Source organism: Homo sapiens, chromosome X, assembly GCF_000001405.40.
Source record: "Homo sapiens chromosome X, GRCh38.p14 Primary Assembly".
In the NCBI taxonomy this organism is placed as follows: Eukaryota; Metazoa; Chordata; class Mammalia; order Primates; family Hominidae; genus Homo; species Homo sapiens.
This window is the reverse complement of record NC_000023.11, coordinates 49,074,442-49,102,210: the sequence shown is the minus strand read 5'-3', so window position 1 is coordinate 49,102,210 and position 27,769 is coordinate 49,074,442. Positions and strand designations below refer to the sequence as shown.

Below are 27,769 nucleotides of genomic sequence, written 5' to 3'. Positions count from 1 at the left end.
CAGTGAAATTATTCACGTAATCAGGAGAGGTTGGCACGTGTTAAAATTATCCATTACTGGGTAATTTGGATCAACGAACTATCATTCCTGACGCCTAGATTCCCCCCGTCCCTCAAGCGCCTCCTCACCCTCCTCCCTCAGACTTCCAGGCTCCACCACCACTGGTGGATGGTCAAGAACCCAGAACAGGCGACCGACCTCTCTTTTTCTTTCCCCTGCTGCACAGCCCATCTCAGAGCTCCCTTCTGTGAGGCTCAGCCAGAGGCCTGCAGGGTTGGGACAGGCTCCTGGAGCCCTCCCCACCAACGAGAGGCCCCGGCCTACTCCCCTCACCTGCACAGGAAAACCCTGGCCCAGTCAGGGAACCAGAAATCTCCTCCCAGTCCTTACCTTGCCCTCACCCTCAGCCACCACCAACTACCCCTGGACGGGCGCCCCCTACATCCCTGCACCTCGGTCTGTGTGACCCCAGGAGTGCCCACTCCCCAATGTGTGTGCCCCTGTGGGTGTCCAAAGCCCTGTCTGTGTGACCCTAGGGGTGTCCACTCCCCAGCGTGTCCGACCCTCGGACCCCAGAGCCCGCAGCCCACAGCCTGGAATGGCCTGCCGCGCGCGGGGCAGGGACGCGCGCACGAAAGCGTCCACATGGAGCCACAACACTGGGCAGGGGCAGCCAACCCGGGCACACCTTTTTGTGTGGGGTAAGGAAAGAGCCCCTCCCCCGCGCGGGGCCCGGCATGCTCGTGCCCATCCCGTCCTGTTGGCACTCCCAGACCCGAGCGGCCCTCGGCCTCTCTCCCGCCCACCGCGTTGCCCTCTCCCCCGAAGGCTTAGTCTTGACCCAACCCTCCCGCCGCGGAACAAGCAACTGGCTTAAGGCCGGGGCGCGGTGGGCTCTGATTGGTCGATGACGATTGACGGTGATGATCTGATTGGTCGATGGTTGATTGGCGCTTCTCGGTAGCTGCCCGGGCGCGCCTCCGCCCCTGCGCTCCGGGCTCCCATTCGTCGCCGCTCTGGGGCATGCGCAGTGGGTGCCATTCAGTGCCTGGGCTCCGGGAAAGTCGTGCTTTTACGGTTCCGGGTACTGGCTCCCACACCACTGCCTCGTGTGGGGTTGTTCGCCCGTGAAGGGGCAGGACAGGGTGCGCGCTGGTGGAGGTTAGTGAGGTCACACACCGGGCCGTGGCGCCTGGTGCGCTGGGCGCTTCCACCTCAACCTTCGTAGCAAACCCAGCGGGGTTCTGTGCCTGCGCACCGTGGTTCCTGCGTTCATTTACTGTCCCGTTTCTCACTCCGGAAAGTGTGGCTTTGAGTTTGATCTGCAGGAGTAGGACGGGCACAGCGGGTGTCTGGTCTTCCTCGCACCATAAATCGCAGAGCGAGCCCTCTGTGGTCTCTGGATACAGTATACCAAAGTTAGATTAACTGTACTCCTTCTCACAAGCCGGTCCAACGTTTGCAGCAGTGAAAAAGCCCTAAGTGTCAGGGCCTTTGGCGAAGCCTGTGTAAGGGAATAAACACTTTCCCCAGTTTTCCAGGCGCAAACTGATGGTTTTGGAGCATTAAGGTCTGGTCGGATGGGGCAGGATGGCTGCGTTGACACGTCTTATTTAATCCACATCATAGGTAAGGTGACCACTTATCTTTTTACAGGTTGAAATTGTTACATTTTGGCCGGGCGCGGTGGCTCACGCCTGTAATCCCAGCACTTTGGGAGGCCGAGGCAGGTGGATCACGAGGTCAGGAGATCGAGACCATCCTGGCTAACACAGTGAAACCCCGTCTCTACTAAAAAAATACAAAAAATCAGCCGGGCGTGGTGACGGGCGCCTGTAGTCCCAGCTACTCAGGAGGCTGAGGCAGGAGGATGGCGTGAACCCGGGAGGCGGAGCTTGCAGTGAGCCGAGATCGCGCCAGTGCACTCCAGCCTGGGCGACAGAGCGAAACTACGTCTCAAAAAAAAAAAAAAAGAAAGAAAAGAAATTGTTACATTTTATATATATGTAAGTTGAAATGGAAGTATATATTGCAAGCATTATAAACGTATGCACCAATATGTATAAATCCATGATTTACAGGGATATAGATGCAGATGGAGCCGTGGGCCCAGTTCATTGCCCTGGGGTGAGTCACATGCTGAAGGGACAGGGGACTGTTGATCTTTTAACTGGGTGCCCAAAATGTTAGGAAGCCTGAGCCCTGAGGCCCCAGCTTTCACTAAGTGGGAAAAAATTCCCTTAATTAGCTTAGAAACTCCAATAGCGTAGTGCTGCCTCCACTGCTGAAAACAGCCAACCTTGATATCAGGTCTGGTCCCAAGAAACAACGTTGATATCAGGTCTGGTCCCAAGAAACAACGTTGATATCAGGTCTGGTCCCAAGAAACACTGTGTGTTTTTTTTTGTTTTTTTTTGTTTTTTTTTTTTTGAGACATAGTCTCGCTCTGTCGCCCAGGCTAGAGTGCAGTGGCGCGATCTCGACTCACTGCAAGCTCCACCTTCCGGGTTCACGCCATTCTCCTGCCTCAGCCTCCTGAGTAGCTGGGACTACAGGCGCCCGCCACCACGCCCGGTTAATTTTTTGTATTTTTAGTAGAGACAGGGTTTCACCGTGTTAGCCAGGATGGTCTCGATCTCCTGACCTCGTGATCCGCCTGCCTCAGCCTCCCAAAGTGCTGGGATTACAGGCATAAGCCACTACGCCCGCCCCAGAAACATTGTTCTTTCCTTTTCTCTTAGATTGTTATTTTATCCCTCTTTTCTCAGGAATGAGGAAAAAGGTTGCTATTTTAACTGTGAGTGTGTGGGAACTGGAGTACTGGGTAGCACTCTTCAAAGGTTCAGTTGAAGTCCGGGCAATTAGTCACCTCTGGATTTTTTTTTTTTGAAATGGAGTCTCACTCTGTTGCCATGCAGGAGTGCAGTGGTGTGATCTCGGCTCACTGCAACCTCTGCCTCCCGGGTTCAAGCGATTCTCCTGCCTCAGCTTCCCGAGTAGCTGGGACTACAGGCACGCACCACCACGCCCAGCTAATTTTTGTATTTTTAGTAGGGATGGGGTTTCACCATGTTGGCCAGGATGGTCTCAAACACCTGACCTCAGGTAATCCACCCACCTGGGCCTCCCAAAGTGCTGCGATTACTGGCATGAGCCACTGTGCCAGGCCCCTCCTCTGGATGTTTCTGAGAGTGGCTGGCTTTGTAACATGTATACTTCACTTTTGTATAATACTTTGTATATACTTCCGTTTCATATAATACTTTGTATATACTTCAGTTTCGCCACTCAGATGCCATAGGAAGTGAGGGGTGCATTGTTTTTGTTTGGGATTTTGTTCTAAAGATTACAGTATAACCAAACATACAATAAGCTATATTAACTCATTTTTTGGTGGGGGGGTAGAGACAGGGTATTTCTTTGTCACCCAGGCTGGAGTATAATGGTGAAGTCATGGCTCACTGCAGTCTGGACAGCCTGTGCTCAAGCCATCCTCCCACCTCAGCCCCCCAAGTAGCTTGGAGTACAGGTGCGCCACGCTACACCTGGCTAATTTTTTACTTTTTGTAGAGATGAGGTCTCACAATGTTGCCCTGCTGGTCTCAAATTTCTGCGTTCAGGCAATCCTCCTGCCTCAGACTCCCAAAGTGCTGGAATTACAGGCATGAGCCACTGCACCCAGCCTTTATTACCTTTTTTTTTTCTTTTTTTTTTTAAGATAGGTTCTCCTTCTGTTGTCCAGGCTGGAGTTTAGTGGCACGGTCTTGACTCACTGCAACCTCCGCCTCCCAGGTTCAAGCAATTCCCGCACCTTAGCCTCCCGAGTAGATGGGATTTACAGGTGCTCGCCACCACTCCTGGCTAATTTTTGTATTTTTAGTAGAGACCAGGTTTTGCCATGTTGGTCAGGCTGGTCTCAAACTCCTGACCTCAAGTGATCCGCCCACCTCAGCCTCCCAAAGTGCTGGGATTACAGGCATGAGCCTCCATGCCCTGCAGTATTATCTTTTTTAAAGAGAGAGTACTTGAGGCCAGGAGTTTGAGACCAGTCTGGGCAATGTGAGACACCGTCTCTACAAAAATTACAAAAAATTAGCCCAGTTTGGTGGTACACACTTGTGGTCCCAGCTACTCAGGAGGCTGATGTGGGAGGATCACTTAAGCCTTGCAATTAGAGGCCGCAGTGAGCCATGATCACACCACGGCACTCCAGCCTGGGCAACAGAGACCTCATCTCAAAAAATAAATAAATAGGCCGGGCACAGTGGCTCGTGCCTGTAATCCCAGCACTTTGGGAGGCCAAGGCAGGTGGATCACCTGAGGTCAGGAGTTCAAGACCGGCCTGACCAACATGGTGAAACCCCATCTCTACTAAAAATACAAAAAATAAGCCAGGTGTGGTGGCTAACGCCTGTAATCCCAACTACTCTGGAGGCCGAGACAGGAGAATCGCTTGAACCTGGGAGGCAGAGGTTGCAGTGAGCCGAGATTGCGCCATTGTACTCCAGCCTGGGCAACAGGAGCAAAATTCCATCTCAAAAAAAAAAATAATAATAATAATAATACAAAAATTAGCTGGGGGAGGCCAGGCGCGGTGGCTCATGCCTGTAATCCCAGCACTTTGGGAGGCCGAGGCGGGCAGATCACCTGAGGTCAGGAGTTCAAGACCATCCTAACCAACATTGTGAAACCCCATCTCTACTAAAAATACAAAAAATGAGCTGGGCATGGTGGCACGTGCCTGTAGTCCCAGCTACTCGGGAGGCTGAGACAGGAGAATCGCTTAAAACCAGGAGGTGAAGGCTACAGTGAGCCCAGATCACGCCACCACACTCCAGCCTGGCGACAGAGCGAGACTCTGTCTCAAAAAAAAAAAAAAACAATTAGCTGGGGCTAGTGGTGGGCGCCTGGGCGACAAAAGTGAAACTCCATCTCAAATAAATAACAGAAACACACCCTTTCTTATCTGTTGTGCATACTTAACTAAAAGAAACACACCCAAAAGTATTTACAAATAAAGAAGATGGGGGAGGAAAAGAAAATCTTTAGCTTATTAATAAAAGAATGGGTCTATTTGAAAAGTACAAATGCTAAAAAAAAAAAGTGCTTCAATGTATATAGCTTGCCTTTTAAGTCTGTAGCCATTTAAATTATAAGAATTTCATCATTTGCTGGCCAGGCGCAGTAACTCACACCTGTAATCCCAGCACATTGGGAGACCGAGGTGGGCGGATCACGAGGTCAAGAGATGGAGACCATCCTGGCCAACATGGTGGAACCCCATCTCTTATTAGCCGAGCATGGTGGTGTGCACCTGTAGTCCCAGCTACTTGAGAGGCTGAGGCAGGAGAATCGCTTGAACCCAGGAAGCGGAGGTTGTAGTGAGCCGATATTGTGCCACTGCACTCCAGCCTGGCGACAGAGCGAAACTCAGTCTCAAAAAATAAAAATAAAAAATGTCATCACTTGCCAAGCCTGGTGGCTCATGCCTGTAATCCCAGCACTTTGTGAGGCTGAGGCAGGAGGATTACTTGAGTCCAAAAGATTGAAGCTGCAGTGAGCTGTGATTGGGCCACTGCCCTCTAGCCTGGGCAACAGAGCAAGACCCTATTCAACAATAACAAAAAAAGGAATTAGGTGATGGGAAATGCCTACCATTTGAATCTATAAAGATAAGCAAGGCAGGGTGCAGTGGCTCACGCCTATAATGCCAACATTTTGGGAGGCTGAGACAGGAGGATCGCTTGAGCTCCAGAGTTCAAGACCAGCCTGGGCAACATAGTGAGATCTAGTCTCTACAAAAATAAACAAATTTAGCTGGGTGTGGTGGTGCGTGCCTGTAGTCTCAGCTACATGGGAGGCTGAGGTGGGAGGATTGAGTGAGCTCAGGAGGTTGAGACTGCAATGAGCCATGATTACGCCACTGCACTGCGGCCTAGGTGACAGCAAAACCTGTCTCAAAAAAGAGAGAGAGAGAGATAAGCAAGAGTTACTCATGATGCTTGGACTTGGGGGAAGATGCCAACTCTGGCACATGTCAGTTACTACATAAAAAGTCAAGTGCAATGTCAAATCCAGAGCATCAAGAGGAAAAAAAGTTCAGTTCCCAAGAGAACATGGATAGCTTAATAATGTAAAACTTGGCCGGGCAGGGTGGCTCATGCCTGTAATCCCAGCACTTTGGGAGGCCGAGGTGGGTGGATCACAAGGTCAGGAATTCAAGACCAGCCTGGCCAACTTATTGAAACCCTATCTCTACTAAAAAAAAAAATACAAAAACAATAGCCAGGCTTGGCAGCTGGCGCCTGTAATTCTAGCTACTCAGGAGGCTGAGGCAGAGAATTGCTTGAACCCGGGAGGCGGAGGTTGCAGTGAGCCCAGATCACGCCATTGCACTCTAGCCTGGGTGACAGCGAGATGCCGCCTCAAAAAAAAAAAAAAAAAAAAAAAAGGCCGGGCACGGTGGCTCACACCTGTAATCCCAGCACTTTTGGAGGCCAAGGTGGGCGGATCATGAGGTCAGGAGATCGAGACCATCCTGGCTAACATGGTGAAACCCCGTCTCTACTAAAAATACAAAAAATTAGCTGGGCGTGGTGGCGGGCGCCTGTAGTCCCAGCTACTCGGGAGGCTGAGGCAGGAGAATGGCGTGAACCTGGGAGGAAGAAGTTGCAGTGAGCCGAGATCGTGCCACTGCACTCCAGCCTGGACAACAGAGCAAGACTCCATCTCAAAAAAAAAAAATTAGCCGGATGTAGTGGTGTGAACCTATAGTCTCAGCTACTCAGGAGGCTCGCCCGCCTTGGCCTCCCAAAGTTCTGGGATTACAGGTGTGAGCCACCGTGCCCAGCCTGTATTTTCTGTAGAGATGGAATTTTGCCATGTTGCTCAGGCCAGTCTCGAACTCCTGGGCTCAAGCAATCCTCCCACCTTGTCCTCCCAAAGTGCTGGGATTACAGGTGTGAGGCACCATGCCCAGCCGCAACAGTAATTTTCACAAATTACTGAAGTCAAGTAGCCAATTTTGATTCATGAAAGTGATATCACTGTAATTCTTCTAAACTTTCACTGAAATGCATGCTCCCTTTGCAGAGGGAAAGCTGGGTTAAGAGATGTCCAGGATGGTCGGGCTCGGTGGCTCATGCCTATAATCCCAGCACTTTGGGAGGCCAAGGCAGGCAGATCACCTGAGGTCGGGAGTTTGAGACCAGCCTGACCAACATGGAGAAACTCCATCTCTACTAAAAATACAAAATTAGCCAGGCGTGGTGGTGCATGCCTGTAATCCCAGCTACTAGGGAGGCTGGGGCCAAGCTGGTCTTGCACACCTGACCTCAGGCGATCTGCCTGCCTCCACCTCCCAAAGTGCTGGGATTGCAGGCTTGAGCCACCGTGCCCAGCCCTATGAATTATTTCAAATGCGTTAGATCCACCTAATCAAAATTCTGTCATTCAACATATAATTTTGAGTGCCAACTATGTCTCAAGGTCAGTGTTCAGCCCTACAGTAAACAACATGGACAGAGCTGCTGCCTTCACAGAACCTCCATCTAAGGAGCAGGTGAATATACCACCAGGCCGTAATTGGTTGCTTAGCTCCAAAATAGCGAATTTAGGGTCAATTAAGATAATAATCTACTAACTGTAATGACATCTCTAGAGTATTGTGTCTTTTAAAGTACAGTTATAGCCTGGGCAACGTGGGGAAACCCCGTCTCTACAAAAAAAAAAATTTTTTTTCTTTGAGACAGTCTTATTTTTTCACCCAGGCTGGAGTGCAGTGGGGCGATCTCAGCTCACTGCAACCTCAAACTCCCGGGTTCAAGCAATTCTCATGTCTCAGCCTCCTAAATAGCTGGGATTACAGGCGTACACCACCACGCATGGCTAATTTTTGCAATTTTAGTAAAGACGGGATTTTGCCATGTTGGCCAGGCTGGTCTCGAACTCCTGGCCTCAAGTGATCTGCCTGCCTTGGCCTCCCATAGTGCTGGGATTACAGGTGTGAGCCACCGCACCTGACCCCTCCTGTCTCTCTTAACACACATTGCCTCCTTATAGAGGTTCAGGCACCATGCTGAGCCTGGGAGGTAATACAAAAATGAATGAGTGGACCTTGTGGGTTCCATGCTAGTTAAAGACACCCTATGAGACCAGCCTGGCCAACATGGTGAAACCTTGTGTCTACTAAAAATACAGAAAATAGCCAGGCATGGTGGTGTGTGCCTGTAATTCCAGCTACTGGGGATGCTGAGGCAGGAGAATCGCTTGAACCCAGGAGGTGGAGGTTGCAGTGAGCTGAGATCACACCACTGCACTCCAGCTTGGGCGATAGAGTGAGACTCCATCTCAGAAAAAAAAGACACCCCGGGCCAGGCAAGGTGGGTCACACCTGTAATCCCAGCACTTTGGGGAACAAGGTGGGAGAATCACTTGAGTCCGGCAGTTTGAGACCAGCCTGGCCAACATAATGAGACCGCATCTTCACAAAAAATATGTTTTAAAAAGCTGGGCATGGTGAAGTGTGCCTGTAGTCCCAGCTACTTGGGAGGCTGAAGTGGGAGTATTGCCTGAGCCCAGGAGTTCGAGGCTGCAGGCTGCAGTGAACTATGATCACACCACTGCACTCCAGTGTGGGTGACAGAGGGAGACCCTGACTCATTAAAAAAAAAAAAAAAAAAGAAGGCTGATTGTGGTGGCTCACGCTTGTAATCCTAGCACTCTGGAAGACTGAGACAGGAAGATTACTTGAGCCCAGTGGTTCAAGATTAGCCTGGGCTGGCCGGGCTCAGCGGCTCAAGCCTGTAATCCCAGGGAAGAGAATTGCTTGAACCCAGGAGGTGGAGGTTGCAGTGAGCTGAGGTCGTGCCATTGCACTCCAGCCTGGGTGACAAGAGCAAAGTTCCGTCTCAAAAAAAATATAGCCTGGGCAACATAGTGAGACCTCAAGACCCCATCTCTATTAAAAGAAAACAAAGTATCCAGCTTAAAAACATAATACTGGCCAGGCACAGTGGCTCACACCTGTAATCCCAGCACTTTGGGAGGCCGAGGTCAGATCGAGACCATCCTGGCCAACATGGTGAAACCCCGTCTCTAATACAAAAATTAGCCAGGCATGGTGGTGGGCACCTGTAATCCCAGCTACTTGGGAGGCTGAGGCAGGAGAATGGCTTGAACCCAGGAGGCGGAGGTTGCAGTGAGCCGAGATGGCGCCACTGCACTCCAGCCTGGGTGACAGAGACTCCCTCTAAAAAACAAAACAAAAAAACCATAATACTAAGTGAAAAGAAACAGAATGAGGAAACACAGACCTGCGTGAGTTAGGATTGCAGTTCCCAAACTGTGTTGAGGCACCTCAGAGTGCCATAGTGAATTCTCAGGGACGCTGTAAGATGCTTTAAATTGTTTGAGGGAAATATATGGGTACTCAACATGTCAGATACCTCATAAACTATTCAAGGGAGTTCAAAGTTTCAAAGTTACATTGAACTACTTTTCTTTCAATGACATCTTTTTGCAAAGCTGGGTTTACAGCAGTTTCTGTGATAAAAAGCAAACACCTGACAAAAATCAGCATGGATAAAGTGATTTAGGTGATATCAGACAATCTGATTAAGGTTTGGGAAGGTGTGCAGAGTCTAACAAACATGCATCCATTAATAAGCAATTGTAGTTATTTAACAATTTTTTTTTCTATCTATGTGTTGTCGATTTTCTAAACTGCTACTATTTTTTTAGGACATAAATAGGTATTATATTTTGGTCCAAGCAGGTGGTGGGGGCAGGGCAAGTTAAAAAAAAAATTGGTCCAAGAAACAGAAGTGTTAGGTATTTGTTTTGAAAAAAAATAACATATGCATACACTCATGAAACCATCACCATAATCAAGATAGTGGACATATCATCATCTCCAAGTTTCCTCATGCCCCTTTGTAATTCCCTTCCTAACTGCCCCACCTCATCCCCAAGCAACCACGGATCTGCTTTGTTACTATAGCATACAAAATATAACAAAGTATACAAAATATAACAAAGTGTACAAAATATACTTTGTTATATTTTGCCTTTTTTTTTTTTTTTTTTTTTTTGAGATGGAGTGTTGCTCTGTTGCCCAGGCTGGAGTGCAATGGCGTGGTCTCGCTCACTGCAACCTCCGCCTCCCGGGTTCAAGCGATTCTCCTGCCTCAGCCTCCCGAGTAGCTGGGACTACAGGCAAGTGCCACCACGCCTGGCTAATTTTTTGTAGAGACGGGGTTTCACCGTGTTAGCCAGGATGGTCTCGATCTACTGACCTCGTGATCCACCCGCCTCAGCCTCCCAAAGTGCTGGGATTACAGGCGTGAGCCACCGCGCCTGGCATATTTTGCCTTTTTAAGAGTTTTATATAAGTGCATCTTAGTATGAACTCTTCTAAATTCCTTCTTTTTTTTTTTTTTTTTTTTTTTTTTTTTTGAGACGGAGTCTCGCTCTGTCGCCCAGGTCGGACTGCGGACTGCAGTGGCGCAACCTCGGCTCACTGCAAGCTCCGCTTCCCGGGTTCACGCCATTCTCCTGCCTCAGCCTCCCGAGTAGCTGGGACTACAGGCGCCCGCCACCGCGCCCGGCTAATTTTTTGTATTTTTAGTAGAGACGGGGTTTCACCTTGTTAGCCAGGATGGTCTCGATCTCCTGACCTCATGATCCACCCGCCTCGGCCTCCCAAAGTGCTGGGATTACAGGCGTGAGCCACCGCGCCCGGCCAATTCCTTCTTTCTTTTCTTTATTTTTGAGACGGAGTCTCGCTCTGTCGCCCAGGCTGGAGTGCAGTGGTGCGATCTCGGCTCACTGCAACCTCCACCTCCCGGTTTCAAGTGATTCTCTTGCCTCAGCCTCTGAAGTAGCTGGGATTACAGACGTGCACCATCACGCCCAGCTAATTTTTGTATTTTTGGTAGAGATGGGGTTTTGCCATGTTGGCCAGGCTGGTCTTGAACTCCTGAGCTCAAGTGATCCACCCGCCTCAGCCTCCCAAAGTGCTGGAATTACAAGCATGAGCCACCAAGACTAGCTCTCTCTAAGTTCTTTCACTCTATAAAAGTTATTGGAAGCCGGGCGCAGTGGCTCACACCTATAACCCCAGCACTTTGGGAGGCCGAGGCGGGCGGATCACGAGGTCAGGAGATTGAGGCTATCCTGGCTAACACGGTGAAACCCCGCCTCTACTAAAAATACAAAAAAAAGTTAGCTGGGCATGGTGGCGGGCGCCACTTGGGAGGCTGCGGCAGGAGAATGGCGTGAACCTGGGAGGCAGAGGTTGCAGTGAGCCGAGATCGCGCCACCGCACTTCAGTGTGGGTGACAGAGCGAGACTCCGTCTCAAAAAAAAAAAAGGCCTGGATTACGGTGGCTCACACCTGTAATCCCAGCACTTTGAGAGGCCGAAGCAGGTGAATCACCTGAGGTCAGGAGTTCAACACCAGCCTAGCCAATGTGGTGAAACTCTGCCCATGTTAAAAATATAAAAATTAGCTGGGCATGGTGGCGGGTGCCTGTAGTCCCAGCCACTTGGGAGGCTGAGGCAGGAGAATTGCTTGAACCCAGGAGGCGGAGGTTGCAGTGAGCTGAGATCGTGCCATTGCTCCAGCCTGGGTGACAAGAGCAAAAAACTCCATCTCAAAAAAAAAAATTATTGGAGATTCACCAGGTTTGTTCCATGTTTCAATAGGTCATTCCTTTTCTTATAGTTGTAAGGTAAGATGTACATATCATAGAACCAACCTCTTCAAAGTGTGCAATTCAGTGGTTTTTAGTACATTCACAAGATTGTGCAGACATCAACACTATCTAATTCAAGAAGCTTTATTTTGGGCCGGGTGTGGTGGCCATGTCTGTATTCCCAACACTTTGGGAGGCACAGCCGGGTGGATCACCTGAGGTCAGGAGTTCCGGACCAGCCTGGCCAACATGATGAAATCCCGTTTCTACTAGAAATACATAATATAGCCGGGCGCGGTGGCAGGCGCCTGTAATCCCAGTTACTCGGAAGGCTGAGGCAGGTGAATCGCTTGAACCTGGGAGGCAGAGGTTGCAGTGAGCCAAGTTCACACCACTGCACTCCAGGCTGGACAGAGTCAGACTCCTGTCTCAAAAAAAAAAACCTTTATTCCTTTATTTCATTACCTCTAAAGGAAACCCCATAGCCATTACCAGTCACTATTCCACCCATCCCCTAGCCTTTAGCTCCTAAAAACCACGAATGTATTTTCTGTCTCTATGAAGTTGCCTATCTTGGTTTTTCATATAAATTAATCATAAAAATATGTGGCCTATTGTGTCTGGCTTATTTCATATAGCATAATATTTTCAAGGTTCATCCATGTTGTACCACACGTATAAGTACAGTACTTCTTTTTTTCTCTTCTTTTCTTTTTTTTTTTTTTTTTGAGATAAGGTTTTGCTCTGTCACCCAGGCTGGAATGCAGTGGCCCGATCTCAGCTCATTGCAACCTCCACCTCCTAGGCTCAAGCGATCTTCCTGCCATAGCCTCCTGAGTAGGTGGGACTACAGGCATGCACCACCATGGCCAGCTACTTTTTTGTAGAGATGGGGTCTCACTATATTGCCTGGCCAACATGGCGAAACTCTGTGTGTACTAAAAATACAATAATTAGTGGGGCGTGGTGGCACATGCCTGTAATTCCAGCTACGTAGGAGGCAGAGGCACAAGAATCGCTTGAACCCAGGAGGCTGAGGTTGTAGTGAGCTGAGATCACACCACTGCACTCCAGCCTGGGTAACAGAGTGAGACTCTGTCTCAAAAAAAACTTTGTCTAGTAATTCCAACATCTGAGCTTCCTCAGTGGAAGTTTTTATTTACCGGTTTTTTTCTTCTTTTTTTCTTTCCTGTGTATGGGCTATGCTTTCTAGTTTATTTATTTTTTGAGATGGAGCCTCCCTCTGTCACCCAGGCTGGAGTGCAGTGGCATGATCTTGCCTCACTGCAGCTTCCGCCTCCTGAGTTCAAGTGATTCTGCCACCTCAGCCTCTTGAGTAGCTGGGATTACAGGCGTGCGCCACCACGCCCAGCTAATTTTTGTATTTTTAGTAGAGACAGAGTTTCACCATGTTGGCCAGGCTGGTCTCGAACTCCTGACCTCAGGTGATCCACCCACCTTGGCCTCCCAAAGTGCTGAGATTACAAGCGTGAGCCACTGTGTCTGGCCTACTTTCTAGTTTCTTTGCATTTTTTAATCTGGACATTTTAAATAATGTGGCAACTCTGAAATTCAGATTGTCTCCTTCCCAGGGTTTGTTGTGGCTGCTGTTTGTTTTTATTATCACTGCTGTTTAGTGACTTCTTTTTGTTTGTTTGTTTGTTTCTGAGATAAGGTCTCCCTCTTGTTGTCTAGGCTGGATTGTAGTGCATGATCATAGCTTACTGCACCTCAAACTCCTGGGTTCAAGCCATCTTCCCATGTCAGCCTCCCAAAGGCATGAGCTACTATGAGCCTGTTTAGCAACTTTTCTGAACTAATTCTATAAAGTGTGTATTCTTTGTTGTGTGTGGCCACTGAAGGCCCTGCTTCATTAGCTTACTGACCAGATAACGGTTAGGCAAAGGTTCCCTTAAATGCCTTGAACCATTACTTCTTCCAGCATTTGCCTAATGTGTGTCCATGTATGTTGGAGAATACCTAGAACACTCCCTCAGGTAGTTCACAACTGTGCCTTAGCCTTCACTTTTTCCTTGCCCAAAGCCTGAAGGTCCCCCACAAATAAGAGCTTAAGGCCTTCTTGGTTCTCTTCGTTGTTGTTGTTGTTGAGACGGAGTTTTGCTCTTGTTGCCCAGGCTGGAGTGCAATGGTGTGATGTCAGCTCACTGCAACCTCCATCTCCAGGATTCAAGCGATTCTCCTGCCTCAGCCTCCCGAGTACCTGGTATTACAGGCACACGCCACCACGCCCAGCTAACTTTTTTTGTATTTTTAGTAGAGACAGGATTTCACCACATTGGCCAGGCTGGTCTCAAACTCCTGACCTCAAGTGATCCACCCGCCTCACCCTCCGAAAGTGCTGGGATTACAGGCATGAGCCACCACACCCGGCCTTTTCTTGGTTCTTTCTTGGGCATGCTCACAGCCCTATGCATGGGCATGCATATGGCATTCCAGATATCCAGCAGTGTGTCAGAACTTTTCATAGACATCTCATTCCCCAGCTTTTCCTTTCATGCTTTTTGGTCTGTTGCTTGTTTACTCCAGCTCTTATCACCATCTCAACCAGCTATGATGTTAAACAACTGCCACTGATTTTTTGTGTTTTTAAAAATTTTGAGACTGGGTCTCGCTCTGTTGCCCAGATTGGAGTGCAGTGGCACAATCATGGCTCACTGAAGCCTCAACCTCCGGCTAAAACAATCTCAGCAACTGCTCAAGCAGTCTTCCCACCTTGGCCTCCCAAAGTGCTCAGATTACAGGCGTGAGCCACCGCACCTGTCCTTGAAATGCTTTTTCCTTTGACTTTCTGGAATCTTCTCTTGGCTCTGCTCCTGCCTCGATGGCTTCTCCTATTCAGTCTTGCTAGTTCCTCCTGGTTCCCCTGAGCCCTATATCTTAGCAATGTCCCACGTCTTAGTCCTAGAACCTCTTCTTTATTTACATCACTTGCTAGGTGATCTCTTTCATTTCATTTTATTTATTTATTTATTTGATATGGTCTTGCTCTGTTGTCCAAGCTGGACCAAAGTGGCACAATCTCGACTCACTGCAACCTCCACCTCCCGGGTTCAAGTGATTCTCCTGCCTCAGCCTCCCGAGTAGCTGGGATTACAGGCATGTGCCACCATACCCAGCTAATTTTTTTTCTTTTTTGAGACGCAGTTTTGCTCTTGTTGCCCAGGCTGGAGTGCAATGGTGCGATATCAGCTCACTGCAAACCTCTGCCTCCCGGGTTGAAGAGATTCTCGTGCCTCAGCCTCCCAAGTAGCTGGGATTACAGGCATGCACCACCATGCCCGGCTAATTTTGTATTTTTAGTAAAGACGGGCTTTCACCATGTCGTCCAGGCTGGTCTTGAACTCCTGACCTTAGGTGATCTGCCTGCCTTGGCCTCCTAAAGTGCTGGGATTACAGGTGTAGGCCACCATGCCCAGCCTTCTTTATCTTTAAAAAAAAAAAACAAAAAACAAAAAAACAAAAACAGTATACTGATGGCTCCTAAATTTGCACTGAGAAAATAAAACTAGGCTGGGAGCGGTGGCTTATGCCTGTAATCCCAGCACTTTGGGAGGCAGAGACAGGAGGATCCAGACCCTGTCTCTAAAAAAGAAAAAAAGGAGGCTGGGCACAGTGGCTCACGCCTGTAATCCCAGCATTTTGGGAGGCCAAGGCGGGCAGATCATTTGAGATCAGGAGTTCCAGACCAGCCTGGCCGACACAGTGAAACCCCATCTCTACTAAAAATACAAAAACTAGCCCTCGTGGTGGTGCACGCCTGTAATCCCCACTACTCAGGAGGCTGAAGCGGAAGAATCACTTGAACCCAGGAGACGGAGGCTGCAGTGAGCGGAGATTGTGCCACTGCACTCCAGCCTGGGCGACAGAGCAAGACTCCGCCTCGGGGAAAAAAAAAAGAGAAAAGACAAATAGCCCAAGGGCAGTCTGAGCTATGTAAAGTATGCAAAATTTATCAGTCCCAGAGAGAAAGGAGCATCTCAGCTCAGTCACATCCTCCACCCACCCACCCATGCCCAGGGGCAGTTGTTTAAAGAGATGTTGGGCCAGGCACGGTGGTTCATGCCTGTAATCCCAGCACTTTGGGAGGCCCAGGTGGGTGGATCACTTGAGGTCAGGAGTTCGAGACCAACCTGACCAACATGGTGAAACCCCGTCTCTACTAAAAATACAAAAATTAGCCGGGCATGGTGGCACGCACCTGTAATCCCAGCTACTCAGGAGGCTGAGGCAGGAGAATCGCTTGAACCCAGGAGGCAGAGGTTGAAGTGAGCCGAGATCACGCCATTGCACTCCAACCTGAGCAACAAGAGTGAAACTCCATCTCAAATAACCTTCTCTTGGGGTCTGGATTGGGACCCCTTTGTGGTAATAAAGGAGGGACACTAATATTAAAGCTGGCTCAACTGGGTCTGAGCAGAGTAATTTTTACCTTAGATATTTGTGTTTTGGGTGTGCACTTTCAGTTTACATTGGAAGCTGTCTCCCCAATTAAAAAAAATCATGTTTTGAGGAAGATTTTCTCTGAGATATAGATACAATTAATTTGAACAAGTCTGGAATACCTAAACTTTCATCCAACTTTCCACAGATTACTAGGTCATTGGAATATTGTCCATTTTATTTATGTATTTATTTTTAGAGACAGAGTCTCACTCTTTGTCACCCAGGCTGAAGTGCAATGGCCCCATCATGGCTCACAAGCAATCCTCCCACCTCAGCCTCCTGAGTAGCTGGGACTAGAGGCACACGCCATCACTCCCAGCTAACTTTTAAAATTATTTGTAGAGACAGGGTTTCACCATGTTTCCCAGGCTCTTCTCCAACTCCTGGGCTCAAGCAATCTGCTCACCTTCCGCCTCCCAAAGTGCTGGGATTACAGGCATGAGCCACTGCACCCAGCCTCCTGCTTCTTTTTATGCCTGGTAATCTTTGTTTGGATAACAGACATTGTCAACTTTACCTTTTTAGGAGCTGGGTCTTTTTTAATTCTTATCAATCTTTGTTATTCCTAAGGATCTTTTAGGGTCTTCTTTTATGATGTGTAAAGTGAGCCTGGAGCAATACTAAGTCTAGGGCTAGTTACTCCCCACAACTGAGACAAGACATTCCTGTGTACTCTATGCCCTGTGAATTATGAGTTTTCCAGTCTGGTTGGTGGGTGCAGGCACTATTTTCAGAAGCTCCATGTGAGTGTCAGGACCTGTTCCCTCCAATCCATTTGGATGGTTCTTTTCCTGGCCTTAGGTAGCTGCCTCATATGCATGTGTTGATAAGCACTCCGCTAAATACTGAAGGGGGACCCTCTGCAGATCTCTGTGATTCTCTGTGCTCCTCTCTGCTGACATTCTGTCCTTTTAACTCCAGCTGCCCTTGTCTCTCTGGACCACCTCAACTTAGGGAGTCCACCAGGCGCTGCCTCAGTTTCCCGTTCCAGTGCCATAGCATGGAAGCTCTCCAGGCAGTGTGCTGGGACAGTTGTAGTGCTCACGTTGTTTCCCATCTTTCAGGGATCACTGTCCTTTGGTGCCTGATGTCTAATGTCTTAAAAATCATTGTTTCAGCCGGGCGCGGTGGCTCACACCTGTAATCTCAGCACTTTAGGAGGCCGAGGCGGGCAGATTACCTGAGGTCAGGAGTTCAAGACCAGCCCGGCCTACATGGTGAAACCCCATCTCTACTAAAAATATAAAAATTAGCCAGGCATGATGGCAGGTGCCCGTAACCCCAGCTACTCAGGAGGCTGAGGCAGGAGAATCACTTGAACCTGGGAGGCAGAGGTTGCAGTGAGCAGAGATCTTGCCATTGTGAGATTGTGCCTGGGCAACAGAGTGAGACTCCGTCAAAAAAAAAAAAAATCATTGTTTCATGTATTTTGGTTTTTTTGTGGGGGGCAAAGTTGGTTGTTTCCTGTGAGAGGACAAAGTTGGTCCCTGTTATTCCACTTTGACTGAGAGTGCATGACACCTTTTTTCTTGTAGAGACAGGGACTTGCCCAGACTGGTCTCAAACTCCTAGCCTCAAGGAATCCTCCCACCTCAGCTTCCCAAAAGTGCTGAGATTACAGGCATGAGCCACCATGCCCAGCCCATGATAACTTTTGACAGTGCGACCAACAGAATTTGCCAATGAAAATGGAGGGGAATCAGCTGGGCATGGTGGCTCATGCCTGTAATCCCAGCACTTTGGAAGGTCAAGGCAGGTGGATCACCTGAGGTCAGGAGTTCGAGACCAGCCTGACCAAGATGGTGAAACCCCGTCTCTACTAAAAATACAAAAATTAGCTGAGTGTGGTGGTGGGCACCTGTAATCCCAGCTACTTGAGAGGCTGAGGCAGGCAAATCGTTTGAACCCAGAAGGCGGAGGTTGCAATGAGTTGAGACCACACCATTGCACTCCAGCCTGGGCGACAGAGCAAGGCTCTATCAAAAAAAAAAAAAAAAGAAAAAAGAAAAAGAAAATGGAGGGGAATTAAGCATGATATATCTGCTCTTTGACTCAAGTAACAAAATGTATTTTAATTTTTATTCTTTTTTTTTTTTTTTTTTTTTAGACAGAGTGTCGCTCTGTCACCCAGGCTGGAGTGCAGTGGTGCAATCTCAGCTCACTGCAACCTCCGCCTCCCGGGTTCAAGCGATTCTCCCGCCTCAGCCTCCTGAGTAGCTATGATTAGAGGTGTGCACCACCACACCCAGCTAATTTTTGTATTTTTAGTAGAGATGGGGTTTCACCGTGTTGGCCAGGCTGGTCTCAACTCCTGACCTCAAGTGATCCGCCCACCTCGCCCTCCCAAAGTGCTGGGATTACAGGCGTGAGCCACCACGCCTGGCCACAAACTGTATTGTGATGCCATTGGCTGAGATGAAGGAGACAGTGGGGGAGCATCTGAGCAAAGGAAATAGAACAAATCTGTTTGGATGGATAAGCAGTATGTGACACCCACATGAATGTCAAACAGGTCATTACAGTACGTTTGAGTCTGGTGTTCCAGAGAAAGGTCTAAGCTGAAGGCCTAGAGGATCTTCCAAATATTTGCAATAATTAAGGCTACAGGAGAAGAGGAAGTCACTTAGGAAGAGAGGATCAGACAGGATTATACCCAAGGATATTCTAATATTTGGAAGTTTGATACAAGTGGAGGAGTAGCCAGAGATGGAGAAAAAAAAAAAAAAAAAAAAAACGAGAGGCCGGGCGTGGTAGCTCAAGCCTGTAATCCCAGCACTTTGGGAGGCCGAGATGGGTGGATCACGAGGTCAGGAGTTCCAGACCAGCCTGGCCAATATGGTGAAACCTCATCTCTACTAAAAATACAAAAATTAGGCTGGGCGCGGTGGCTCACGCCTGTAATCCCAGCACTTTGGGAGGCCAAGGCGGGCGGATCACGAGGTCAGGAGTTCGAGACCAGCCTGACCAACATGGTGAAACCCCGTCTCTACTAAAAATACAAAAATTAGCCGGGCGTGGTGGTGCATGCCTATAATCCCAGCTACTTGGGAGCCTGAGGCAGGAGAATCGCTTGAACCCGGGAGGCGGAGGTTGCAGTTAACCGAGATCGCCCCACTGCACTCCAGCTTGGATGACAGAGCGAGACTCCGTCTCAAAAAAAAAAAAAAAAATTAGCTGGGCGTGGTGGTGCATGCCTGTAATCTCAGTTACTCAGGAGGCTAAGGCAGGAGAATCACTTGAACCCAGGAAGCAGAGGTTGCAGTGAGCCGAGATCGTGCCACTGCAGTCCAGCCTAGGTGACAGAGTGAGACTCCATCTTAAAAAAAAAGAAAGAAAGAAAAAGAAAAACCAAGAGAGTGAGAGGAAGAAATTGTGGGTTTCACTAGAAAGTCACAGGAGAGGGCAGAGAAGTGATTGCTGGTTTGGCAAGATTATTATTCATCAGTGGTCTGGTTAAGAGCAGTCCCAAAGACACAGGAGTGACAAACACCAAATTGAATTGAGTTGAATATGGTCTGGGACATGAGGAAGTGGAGTCTGAAGAAAGCCAGATGATTGGCCTTGTTGAGGAGCACAGTAATGGAATCATGCCAAGGGGAGTATATAGGGCCAAAATTCACAAGTAAATATATACATGGGAATTGACGACACAGTATCTGAAACAACCTAGGCAGCCATCAGTTGGGGAAGGGCTGAACAATGCTACATAATATCATGAACCAGTTAAAAAGGATGAGTTAAAAAGATGTTCTTATATATTAATATATGAAAAAACAGAAGCATCAAAACAATACTTCAAAAAAAGTAAAGGGGGGATTTCATCAATGTGAAACCCTGATTGTATTAAAAGTATGAGATTTCTCTGTATTTTTTCTTTAATATTCAGTCTTCATAGACTGTCAAAAATTGCCAATGCCGACTATATTGCAAGTCTTCGGGGCGGGGTATTGGGAAGTTTCCAATTAGCAATATCCACACCTTGGCTAAACCTCATTGGCTATGATACTGCCACTGCAAAAAGCATATTTCTTTTTTTTCAAGAATATTCTTTTTTTTTTTTTTTTTTTGGAGACAGGGTTTCCCTCTGTTGCCCAGGCTGGAGTGCAGTGGCGCGATCTTGGCTCACTGCAACCTCTGCCTTCTGGGTTCCAATGATTCTCCTGCCTCAGCCTCCCAAGTAGGGGACTTACAGGTGCCCGCCACCACGCCCGGCTAATTTTTTGTATTTTAGTAGAGAGGAGGTTTCACCGTGTTACCCAGGGTGGTCTCAAACCCCTGAGCTCAGGCAATCCACCTGCCTCGGCCTCCCAAATTGCTGGGATTACAGGCATGCACCACCATGCCCAGCCCTTTTTTTTTGAGACGGGAATTTCGCTCGTCTCCCAGGCTGGAGTGCAATGGCAGGATCTGGGCTTGCTGCAACCTCCGCCTCCTAGGTTTAAGTGGTTCTCCTGCCTCAGCCTCCCCAGTAGCTAGGATTACAGGCGCGTGTCACCACGCCCGGCTTTTTTTTTTTTTTTCGAGACAGAGTCTCACTCTATTACCCAGGCTGGAGTGCAGTGGTGCGATCTCTGCTCACTGCAACCTCCTCCTCCTGGCTTCAAGTGATTCTCCTGCCTCAGCCTCCCGAGTAGCTGGGACTACAGGCACGCACCACCATGCCTGGCTAACTTTTTGTATTTTTAGTAGAGAGGGGGTTTCACCATGCTGGCCAGGCTGATCTCGAACTCCTGACCTCATGATCTGCCTGCTTCGGCCTCCCAAAGTGCTGGGATTACAGGCGTGAGCCACCGCGCCCAGCCTATTTATTATTTCTTAATGTAAAGTTTAATTAAAAATCCTTCCAGCCGGGCGCAGTGGCTCACGCCTGTAATCCCAACACTTTGGGGGGCCGAGGCAGGCGGATCACCTGAGGTCAGGAGTTCAAGACCAGACTGATCAACAGGGAGAAACCCGGTCTCTACTAAAAATACAAAATTAGCTGGGCGTGGTGGCACATGCCTGTAATCCCAGCTACTTGGGAGGCTGGGGAGGCTGAGGCAGAAGAATCCCTTGAACCCGGGAGGCGGAGGTTGTGGTGAGCCAAGATCGCGCTAATTGCACTCCAGCCTGGGCAAAAAGAGCCAAACTCTGTTAATCAAAAAAAAAAAAAAAAAAAAAAATTCCTTCCAGTATGCATATAATTTGGGGCCTTTTTTTAAAAGCTTTATCATAGGTAGGACCTCTTTTTTTTTTTTTTTTTAACCCAAAGCATTCATACCTTTTACTATCAAAAAGCTATTTTGTATTTTGTAAAAATAAAAGCAGAGGCCGGGCGTGGTAGCTTAAGCCTGTAATCCCAGCACTTTGGGAGGCCGAGGTGGGTGGATAACCTGAGGTCAAGAGTTCGAGACCAGCCTGACCAACATGGTGAAACCCCGTCTCTACTAAAAATACAAAAATTAGATGGGCGTGGTGGCGCACGCCTGCAGTCCCAGCTACTCCGGAGGCTGAGGCAGGATAACCGTTTGAACCCGGGAGGCGGAGGTTGCAGTGAGCCGAGATCGCGCCACTGCACTCCAGCCTGGGAGACAGAGCGAGACTCTGTCTCAGAAAACAAAACTAAACAAAACACAAAAGACAAAACTCAGAGCTGGCGGGGTTGGGGGGACAGGGTGGGGAGAAAGAAAGCGAAATCTGTTCCTTGGCTTCCCGGAGCCAAGGAGGTTTCTCCACTTTCAAGGTCTCCAGGTCCGCCCCCGCCTGTAACCCCCAGCGCCGCCCCTCTGGAAGCCTGGGAGGACTGTGTGTTGCGAACCGGGGCGGCTACTCTCGGCCGCCGCGGAGGTCCGCGTCTTGTTAGCAGGGAAGGTTTACTCCCCCATTGTGGGTGACCAAGGGGCTGAGGGCTTGGCCGGTTTCGCTTTGCTGGGGGCAAGGCACGCTCTCTCTCCCCACCCTTCCGGGTTCCCTCAGACAGTCTCGGCCTTGAGGAACCCCCTTCGCCTCCGGTCCCCCAGCCAACCTTCCTCCGCTCCCCGCGCCCTCCCCGGAGAACCCCACTGTCACTCGCGATGCTCCGAAGACCCGGGAACTAGGCGAGGAAGGCGGTGGCCGCCTTTTTCCAGCTGGGGTGAGTCATTTCCTGCGACAGGCTCCCTCCCCCGGAAGTAGGGCCTGATGTAAACACCCGAGCCGGGCTCCAAGGCCCGGGAGGTCAGAAAACCGGGCCGCGGGCGGCACCGACAGCTGGGGCCCGGGTCAGGGACACGCGGAGGTCAGGCCGGTGAAGGCGGCAGGAAGCTGGAGCACGATCCCAGGGTTGGTTGGGTCTGGGGGAGGCTGGAAGTCTTTCGAGTAGGGGTCTAAGGCAGAGGTCTTGAGTGGGTGCTGGCGTTGGAAGGAGCATGCGGCTGGTCTTGGGAGAGGGGCGAGGCATCCCGGACAGAGTCTTGGAATGGAGGTGCAAAAAAGGGGTGTTGAAAGTTGGAGCTGTCCAGAGAATAACTCTAAGGCAGAGCTGTCCAAAGAAAGAGCATGAGGCATTCCAGTGGAGGGTGTAACTGAAAGAAAGGAAGGAGATTTGGACTCTTGGAGGATGGGGGAGGGAGTATGTCTGGCCAGAGTTATTGGGGAGTTGAGGATTTGAAGGGAAGTTGGGGGCTCTATGGCAGTAATCTTAGTAGGGGACTGCGCAGGCATCTTAGGGGTTGAGGTTCTCCTAGGTAGGAGTTTTGGGTGGTTTGTTTTGGGCAAGGGTCTTAGAAGGCAAGGGTGCCCTGGGGCGGGGTCTTGGATAGGGGTCTAGAGGGGGAATCTTAGGAGGATGGGGGGGGTTCCTGGGGTTGGGTCCAGGCCAGGTTATGTTGTAGTCAAGGACAGCAGAACACAAGGAAGGAGATGTCCCAGGGGTGGAAAATTTAGAGTGCTAGGGGGAATCCTAGGGTAGAGTCCCCAGGGCATAAGCCAATCTAAGGGAATGTCTAGGCTGGCCCTGAAGGGTAGTTACCAAGGCATGAGAAGGGGTCATCCCAAGGTAGGCATCCTGAAGGAGTTTGGGGAAGCCGGTTGAGGGGGAAAGGTGTGAGAGGACTCTGGGGTGGTCAAATAGGTTGGGGTACAGTTAGAAGGGTATGAGCAGAGGAGTTCCTGGGGATGGCAGACCAAGCATAGCAGTCCCAGGGCCAAGTCAGGGAGGTACAAGAAGTGCATCTCCTAGCCCACTTTTGTCTATTTATTGAGAGAGTCCGGTGCTAGGTCAGGTTTGAAGATGAGAAATGGGTTGGGAGTGGTTCCAGGCCATGTCTGGCATTGGGATCAAGATTGGCTGGCGGTGGGGAGGAGATATCACGGGGGCACCCCCTATCACATTACTTCCTGACAAGTCAGTGAGGGCCAGCATGTAAAGAGGAGGTGTGGGGTCCACGTCAGTGTGGGCCTGGAGCTTGCCAAACCTGAAAGAAGGAGGGTTCCTGGCCATGTTGTTTGGGATCTTGGGAGCTTAGAGCAGAGACCCTGGGACTCTCTGTTTTTATCTTTTTCTTCCCCCCGAGACGGAGTCTCGCTCTGTCACCCAGGCTGGAATGCAATGGCTCGATTTCGGCTCACTGCCATCTCAGCCTCTCGGGTTCAAGCAATTCTCCTGCCTCAGCCTCCTGAGTAGCTGGGATTATAGGTGCCCCCCACCACACCCGGCTAACTTTTGTATTTTTATTAGAGACGGGATTTCACCATGTTAGCCAGGCTGATCTCAAACTCCTGACCTCAGGTGATCCACCCGCCTTGGCCTCCCAAAGTGCTGGGATTACAGGCATAAGCCACCACGCCTGGCCTGTTTTTATCTTTTTTGCAGTCACTCCAGAGTCAGTAGTTAGCAGAGTAGGAGGAGGAAATCAGGTGAGGCAGAACTTGGAGGGGAGATTCCAGGACTCTTCTCATCTTTATCCCATTTGTATGCAGAGGAACAATCCTGCACCATGACTCAACAGCCACTTCGAGGAGTGACCAGCCTGCGTTTCAACCAAGACCAAAGTGAGAGAGGATTGGGCCTGTACCCTTGTGGGAGGAAGCGAGGAAAAGAGGGGTCAGAAGTGGGCCATGGGCCCCCAGCTTCCTACCTGGGCATTCTTTAAGGCAGTCTGGATTCCTTCCATCCCCCAGGCTGCTTTTGCTGCGCCATGGAGACAGGTGTGCGCATCTACAACGTGGAGCCCTTGATGGAGAAGGGGCATCTGGGTGAGCTGTTGGCAGGGGAGGGGCAATGGGCAGAAGAGCTGGGCTGGGCGTTGGCTCCCACCTCCACTGACACCCTGGTCCCTGTCCAGACCACGAGCAGGTGGGCAGCATGGGCTTGGTGGAGATGCTGCACCGCTCCAACCTTCTGGCCTTGGTGGGCGGTGGTAGTAGTCCCAAGTTCTCAGAGATCTCAGGTAAGTGCCCTCATCCTGCCCTTTGGCCCAGATTTCTCGGATTCCTGGCCTCCCACAGGCACCCCAAGGTACTGGCAGATGAAGACGTCAGAGTACTTCAGAGTCACACAGAGAGGAGGCCTACAGCTTGGAAGTCATGGATCTTATAGCTTGAGAAGCTTGGTGCTTTGTTTTCATTTTAAAAATTCTGATTGAGTGCCTCCTGTGTGCCATGCCCTAGAGCACTTACTGTGAGCCTGGAACTGCCCTAAGCACTTTACGTTTATTAACTCATTTAATCCTCACAGTAACTCTATGGGGTAGGAAGGATCATTATCCCCATCTTTACCGATGAGGAAACTGAGGCCCAGTGCAGTTAAGTGACTCATCCAAGGTCACACAAGCAATAGGTTTTAAAATCTTGGAGCCGTCTTCCCAATACCCCCTTGGCTTGAGCCTCAAGTGCCATCTTACTTTAAGGGTTTTTCTTGATGATCCCATCTGGACAAGGCAGGAGTTGCCCTAGGTGAGTCACAGAGCCCTAGGATTCCTCACGGAAATCTCCAGGGTGCATGGACTAGGACCCTGGAGGCAGAAATAGTTACCGAGGGGAAGTTACAGGCCTGAGTGTGAGTCCCTGTTTGGTTGCTGATGAGCTTTGAGGTCCTTGGCCAGACACTCAACCACTTTGAACCTCAGTTTCCTCATCTGTAGATGAGTGTAACAGTCTAGAACACTCCTCTCAGGGATCATATCCACAAGTGCTCGTGCTGTGCGAGGATCTCACTGGTTGTTTATTGAAAGGCTAAGCAAGTAGGTTGAGGTCCCTGGGAAGCAGGGGTGGATCCTGTGTCACCAGGGCTGCCCCTTACCCTAAACCTTGGCCCCGACAACCCACCCACCTGCCCAGCAGTGCTGATCTGGGACGATGCCCGGGAGGGCAAGGACTCCAAGGAGAAGCTGGTGCTGGAGTTCACCTTCACCAAGCCAGTGCTTTCTGTGCGCATGCGCCATGACAAGTGAGCCTGAGGAGGACCGGGGTGGGAGGTAGGAGGTCCCCACAGTAAGTGAGAGGGATAGTCCTCCCTGGGCATCCCGCCACCCCCTCACGGCCATCCTGTGTTGTGTGATACCCACAGGATCGTGATCGTGCTGAAGAACCGCATCTATGTGTACTCCTTCCCCGACAATCCCCGAAAGCTGTTTGAGTTTGATACCCGGGACAACCCCAAGGGTGAGAGGGCTCAGATACACAGGTGTAAGGGCATGAAACAGTGGATGGGGCAGAGGGGCAGAGATGAGGAAAGAAAGGAAGGGGCACTCACACACAGAGAAATGGGGAAAGAGGCAGGGAGATGCTCACACTCATAGCCTCTCCATCTTTCCAGCCCTCAGCCAGTTCTCCCCACCTCCGGACCTGCCCCACCCCTGGGTACCCCAGTGGCAGAGCAAAAACACCTCGTGAGGACATGGGTGGGTGTGTCAGGGATCCCTGAGCTTCTGGGGCTGTGATAGCAGCTTACTAGATTCCACAGCTGCAGAGCAAGGAATGGAATCTGCCTAGCTGGCGGGGCGTGCAGCTGAGCTGAGCCCCCTCAGGGTTCTTCGGGTTAAGCTTATCGTGGAGGGTTGAAGTCTGGTCCTCATCCAGCTCTGTCCATTCTGAGATGCTGCCTCCTCTTCAGCCGCCCACCCCACCCCCCATCTTCACACCCTAGGGCTCTGTGACCTCTGCCCCAGCCTGGAGAAGCAACTGCTAGTGTTCCCGGGACACAAGTGTGGGAGTCTGCAACTTGTGGTGAGCCGTCCAGTGGACAAGGGTGGGTAGGTTGGTGGACTGGCTTCCTTGTGGACTCTTGGCCCCTTCCCTCCATACCACCCCAACCTCAGACTCCTCCCTCCTACCCCAGGACCTGGCGAGCACAAAGCCTGGCACCTCGTCTGCTCCATTCACGATCAATGCACATCAGAGTGACATAGCCTGTGTGTCTCTAAACCAGCCAGGCACTGTAGTGGCCTCAGCCTCCCAGAAGGGTACCCTTATTCGCCTCTTTGACACACAATCCAAGGAGAAACTGGTGGAGCTGCGCCGAGGCACTGACCCTGCCACCCTCTACTGGTGAGCACAGGGTATGCATGGTGGGCTGGTGACCCCATACCACATGACATGTGGGCATCACTGCTGATCTGTCTTCTAGCATTAACTTCAGCCACGACTCCTCCTTCCTCTGCGCTTCCAGTGATAAGGGTACTGTCCATATCTTTGCTCTCAAGGATACCCGCCTCAACCGCCGCTCCGCGTGAGTACCCCCTCCCCACCCTACCGTGTCCCTGTCCCCCTGCCCATTTACCATACCTGGGCTTAGCCAGTGCTGCCTGCAGGCTGGCTCGCGTGGGCAAGGTGGGGCCTATGATTGGGCAGTACGTGGACTCTCAGTGGAGCCTGGCGAGCTTCACTGTGCCTGCTGAGTCAGCTTGCATCTGCGCCTTCGGTCGCAATACTTCCAAGAACGTCAACTCTGTCATTGGTGAGTGGGAACAGCCCCTTGGTTGGGGGTACTGCATGGGGCAAAGGCCTGCAGGTTGGACCTGAAAGGATTTTAGGGCCATGTGAGGCTCAGCTTCATCATCAGTAAGGGGGACAGCACTGGGCAAAGGCCTGGAGGCAGACCCTAGGTCCTGAGATGCCTGAGAGGACTGGAGCCTGTGGCTGTGGCAGCCTCTGACCTTTTACCACCCCCCCTCCCCCAGCCATCTGCGTAGATGGGACCTTCCACAAATATGTCTTCACTCCTGATGGAAACTGCAACAGAGAGGCTTTCGACGTGTACCTTGACATCTGTGATGATGATGACTTTTAAGGACCCTGGGGGCTGTGCTAGGGACCTGCAGTGGCAGAACTGCAGAGCTGAGCCTTGGCAGTGGGGCGTGCTTGGAAGCCACCAGCCAGCAAGCATTAATGGGGCTGGTGCCCACTTTCCACTCAGCAGAGCTATGTCTAAATAAAGAGCTCACTTCCCCCCAGCACTTCTTGATGACTGTGTGCCCCAAGGGCCAGGCCAGAGACCCAGGAAGGCAGCGACCCCTTGGGATCCCTAACCTGGAGGAAATTGCCAGGGACCCAGAGGGAGTGCCCTAATCCAACCTGGGGATTTTTTAAAAGCTTCCTAGGAAGAGATGATCTCCGATGTGATGAATACGAATAAAAGGCCCTTAATGGCA

The 27,769-nt window shown here is 50.3% G+C and overlaps 1 protein-coding gene and 1 pseudogene across 2 annotated transcripts, besides 7 other annotated features; one reads left to right on the top strand and one right to left on the bottom strand.

Annotated features, from left to right (window-relative positions):
* WDR45 (WD repeat domain 45) lies at positions 1,033 to 27,769 on the top strand. 2 transcript variants are annotated; one of them, NM_007075.4, is made up of 12 exons: positions 1,033 to 1,161; positions 1,657 to 2,006; positions 24,099 to 24,170; positions 24,300 to 24,374; positions 24,464 to 24,568; positions 25,458 to 25,566; positions 25,687 to 25,781; positions 26,266 to 26,345; positions 26,458 to 26,666; positions 26,746 to 26,847; positions 26,930 to 27,075; positions 27,299 to 27,769. In NM_007075.4, exons 3-12 carry the CDS (start codon positions 24,116 to 24,118, stop codon positions 27,406 to 27,408), a joined length of 1,086 nt encoding a protein of 361 aa, NP_009006.2. In that variant the 5' UTR covers positions 1,033 to 1,161; positions 1,657 to 2,006; positions 24,099 to 24,115; the 3' UTR covers positions 27,409 to 27,769. The 2 variants fall into 2 exon arrangements, with proteins under 2 accessions (NP_009006.2, NP_001025067.1); NM_001029896.2 differs by lacking the exons at positions 1,033 to 1,161; positions 1,657 to 2,006 and adding an exon at positions 22,324 to 22,460 and having other exon boundaries at positions 25,461 to 25,566.
* Positions 1,588 to 1,667: an enhancer, noted in NCBI's record as "active region_29628". NCBI's record gives its function as "activates an Ori minimal core promoter by ATAC-STARR-seq in GM12878 lymphoblastoid cells {active_cell/tissue: GM12878}" and the evidence as "EXISTENCE:reporter gene assay evidence [ECO:0000049][PMID:35858748]".
* On the bottom strand, positions 20,046 to 20,183 carry RNU4-52P (RNA, U4 small nuclear 52, pseudogene; annotated as a pseudogene).
* Positions 21,555 to 21,624: a silencer, noted in NCBI's record as "silent region_20835". NCBI's record gives its function as "represses an Ori minimal core promoter by ATAC-STARR-seq in GM12878 lymphoblastoid cells {active_cell/tissue: GM12878}" and the evidence as "EXISTENCE:reporter gene assay evidence [ECO:0000049][PMID:35858748]".
* Positions 21,867 to 22,161: an enhancer, noted in NCBI's record as "tiled region #1999; HepG2 Activating DNase matched - State 1:Tss". NCBI's record gives its function as "activates a minimal TATA promoter and a strong SV40 promoter by Sharpr-MPRA in HepG2 cells {active_cell/tissue: HepG2}" and the evidence as "EXISTENCE:reporter gene assay evidence [ECO:0000049][PMID:27701403]".
* Positions 21,867 to 22,161: a silencer, noted in NCBI's record as "tiled region #1999; K562 Repressive non-DNase unmatched - State 1:Tss". NCBI's record gives its function as "represses a minimal TATA promoter and a strong SV40 promoter by Sharpr-MPRA in K562 cells {active_cell/tissue: K562}" and the evidence as "EXISTENCE:reporter gene assay evidence [ECO:0000049][PMID:27701403]".
* Positions 21,867 to 22,373: a biological region, named in NCBI's record as "Sharpr-MPRA regulatory region 1999".
* Positions 21,873 to 22,373: an enhancer, noted in NCBI's record as "H3K27ac hESC enhancer chrX:48937497-48937997 (GRCh37/hg19 assembly coordinates)". NCBI's record gives its function as "activates a minimal SCP1, AML or CMV promoter by ChIP-STARR-seq in primed H9 embryonic stem cells {active_cell/tissue: H9 hESC(primed)}" and the evidence as "EXISTENCE:reporter gene assay evidence [ECO:0000049][PMID:30033119]".
* Positions 23,823 to 25,022: an enhancer, noted in NCBI's record as "BRD4-independent group 4 enhancer chrX:48934848-48936047 (GRCh37/hg19 assembly coordinates)". NCBI's record gives its function as "activates an origin of replication core promoter dependent on BRD2, P300/CBP, MED14 and CDK7 cofactors, and independent of BRD4, by STARR-seq in HCT116 cells {active_cell/tissue: HCT116}" and the evidence as "EXISTENCE:reporter gene assay evidence [ECO:0000049][PMID:35650434]".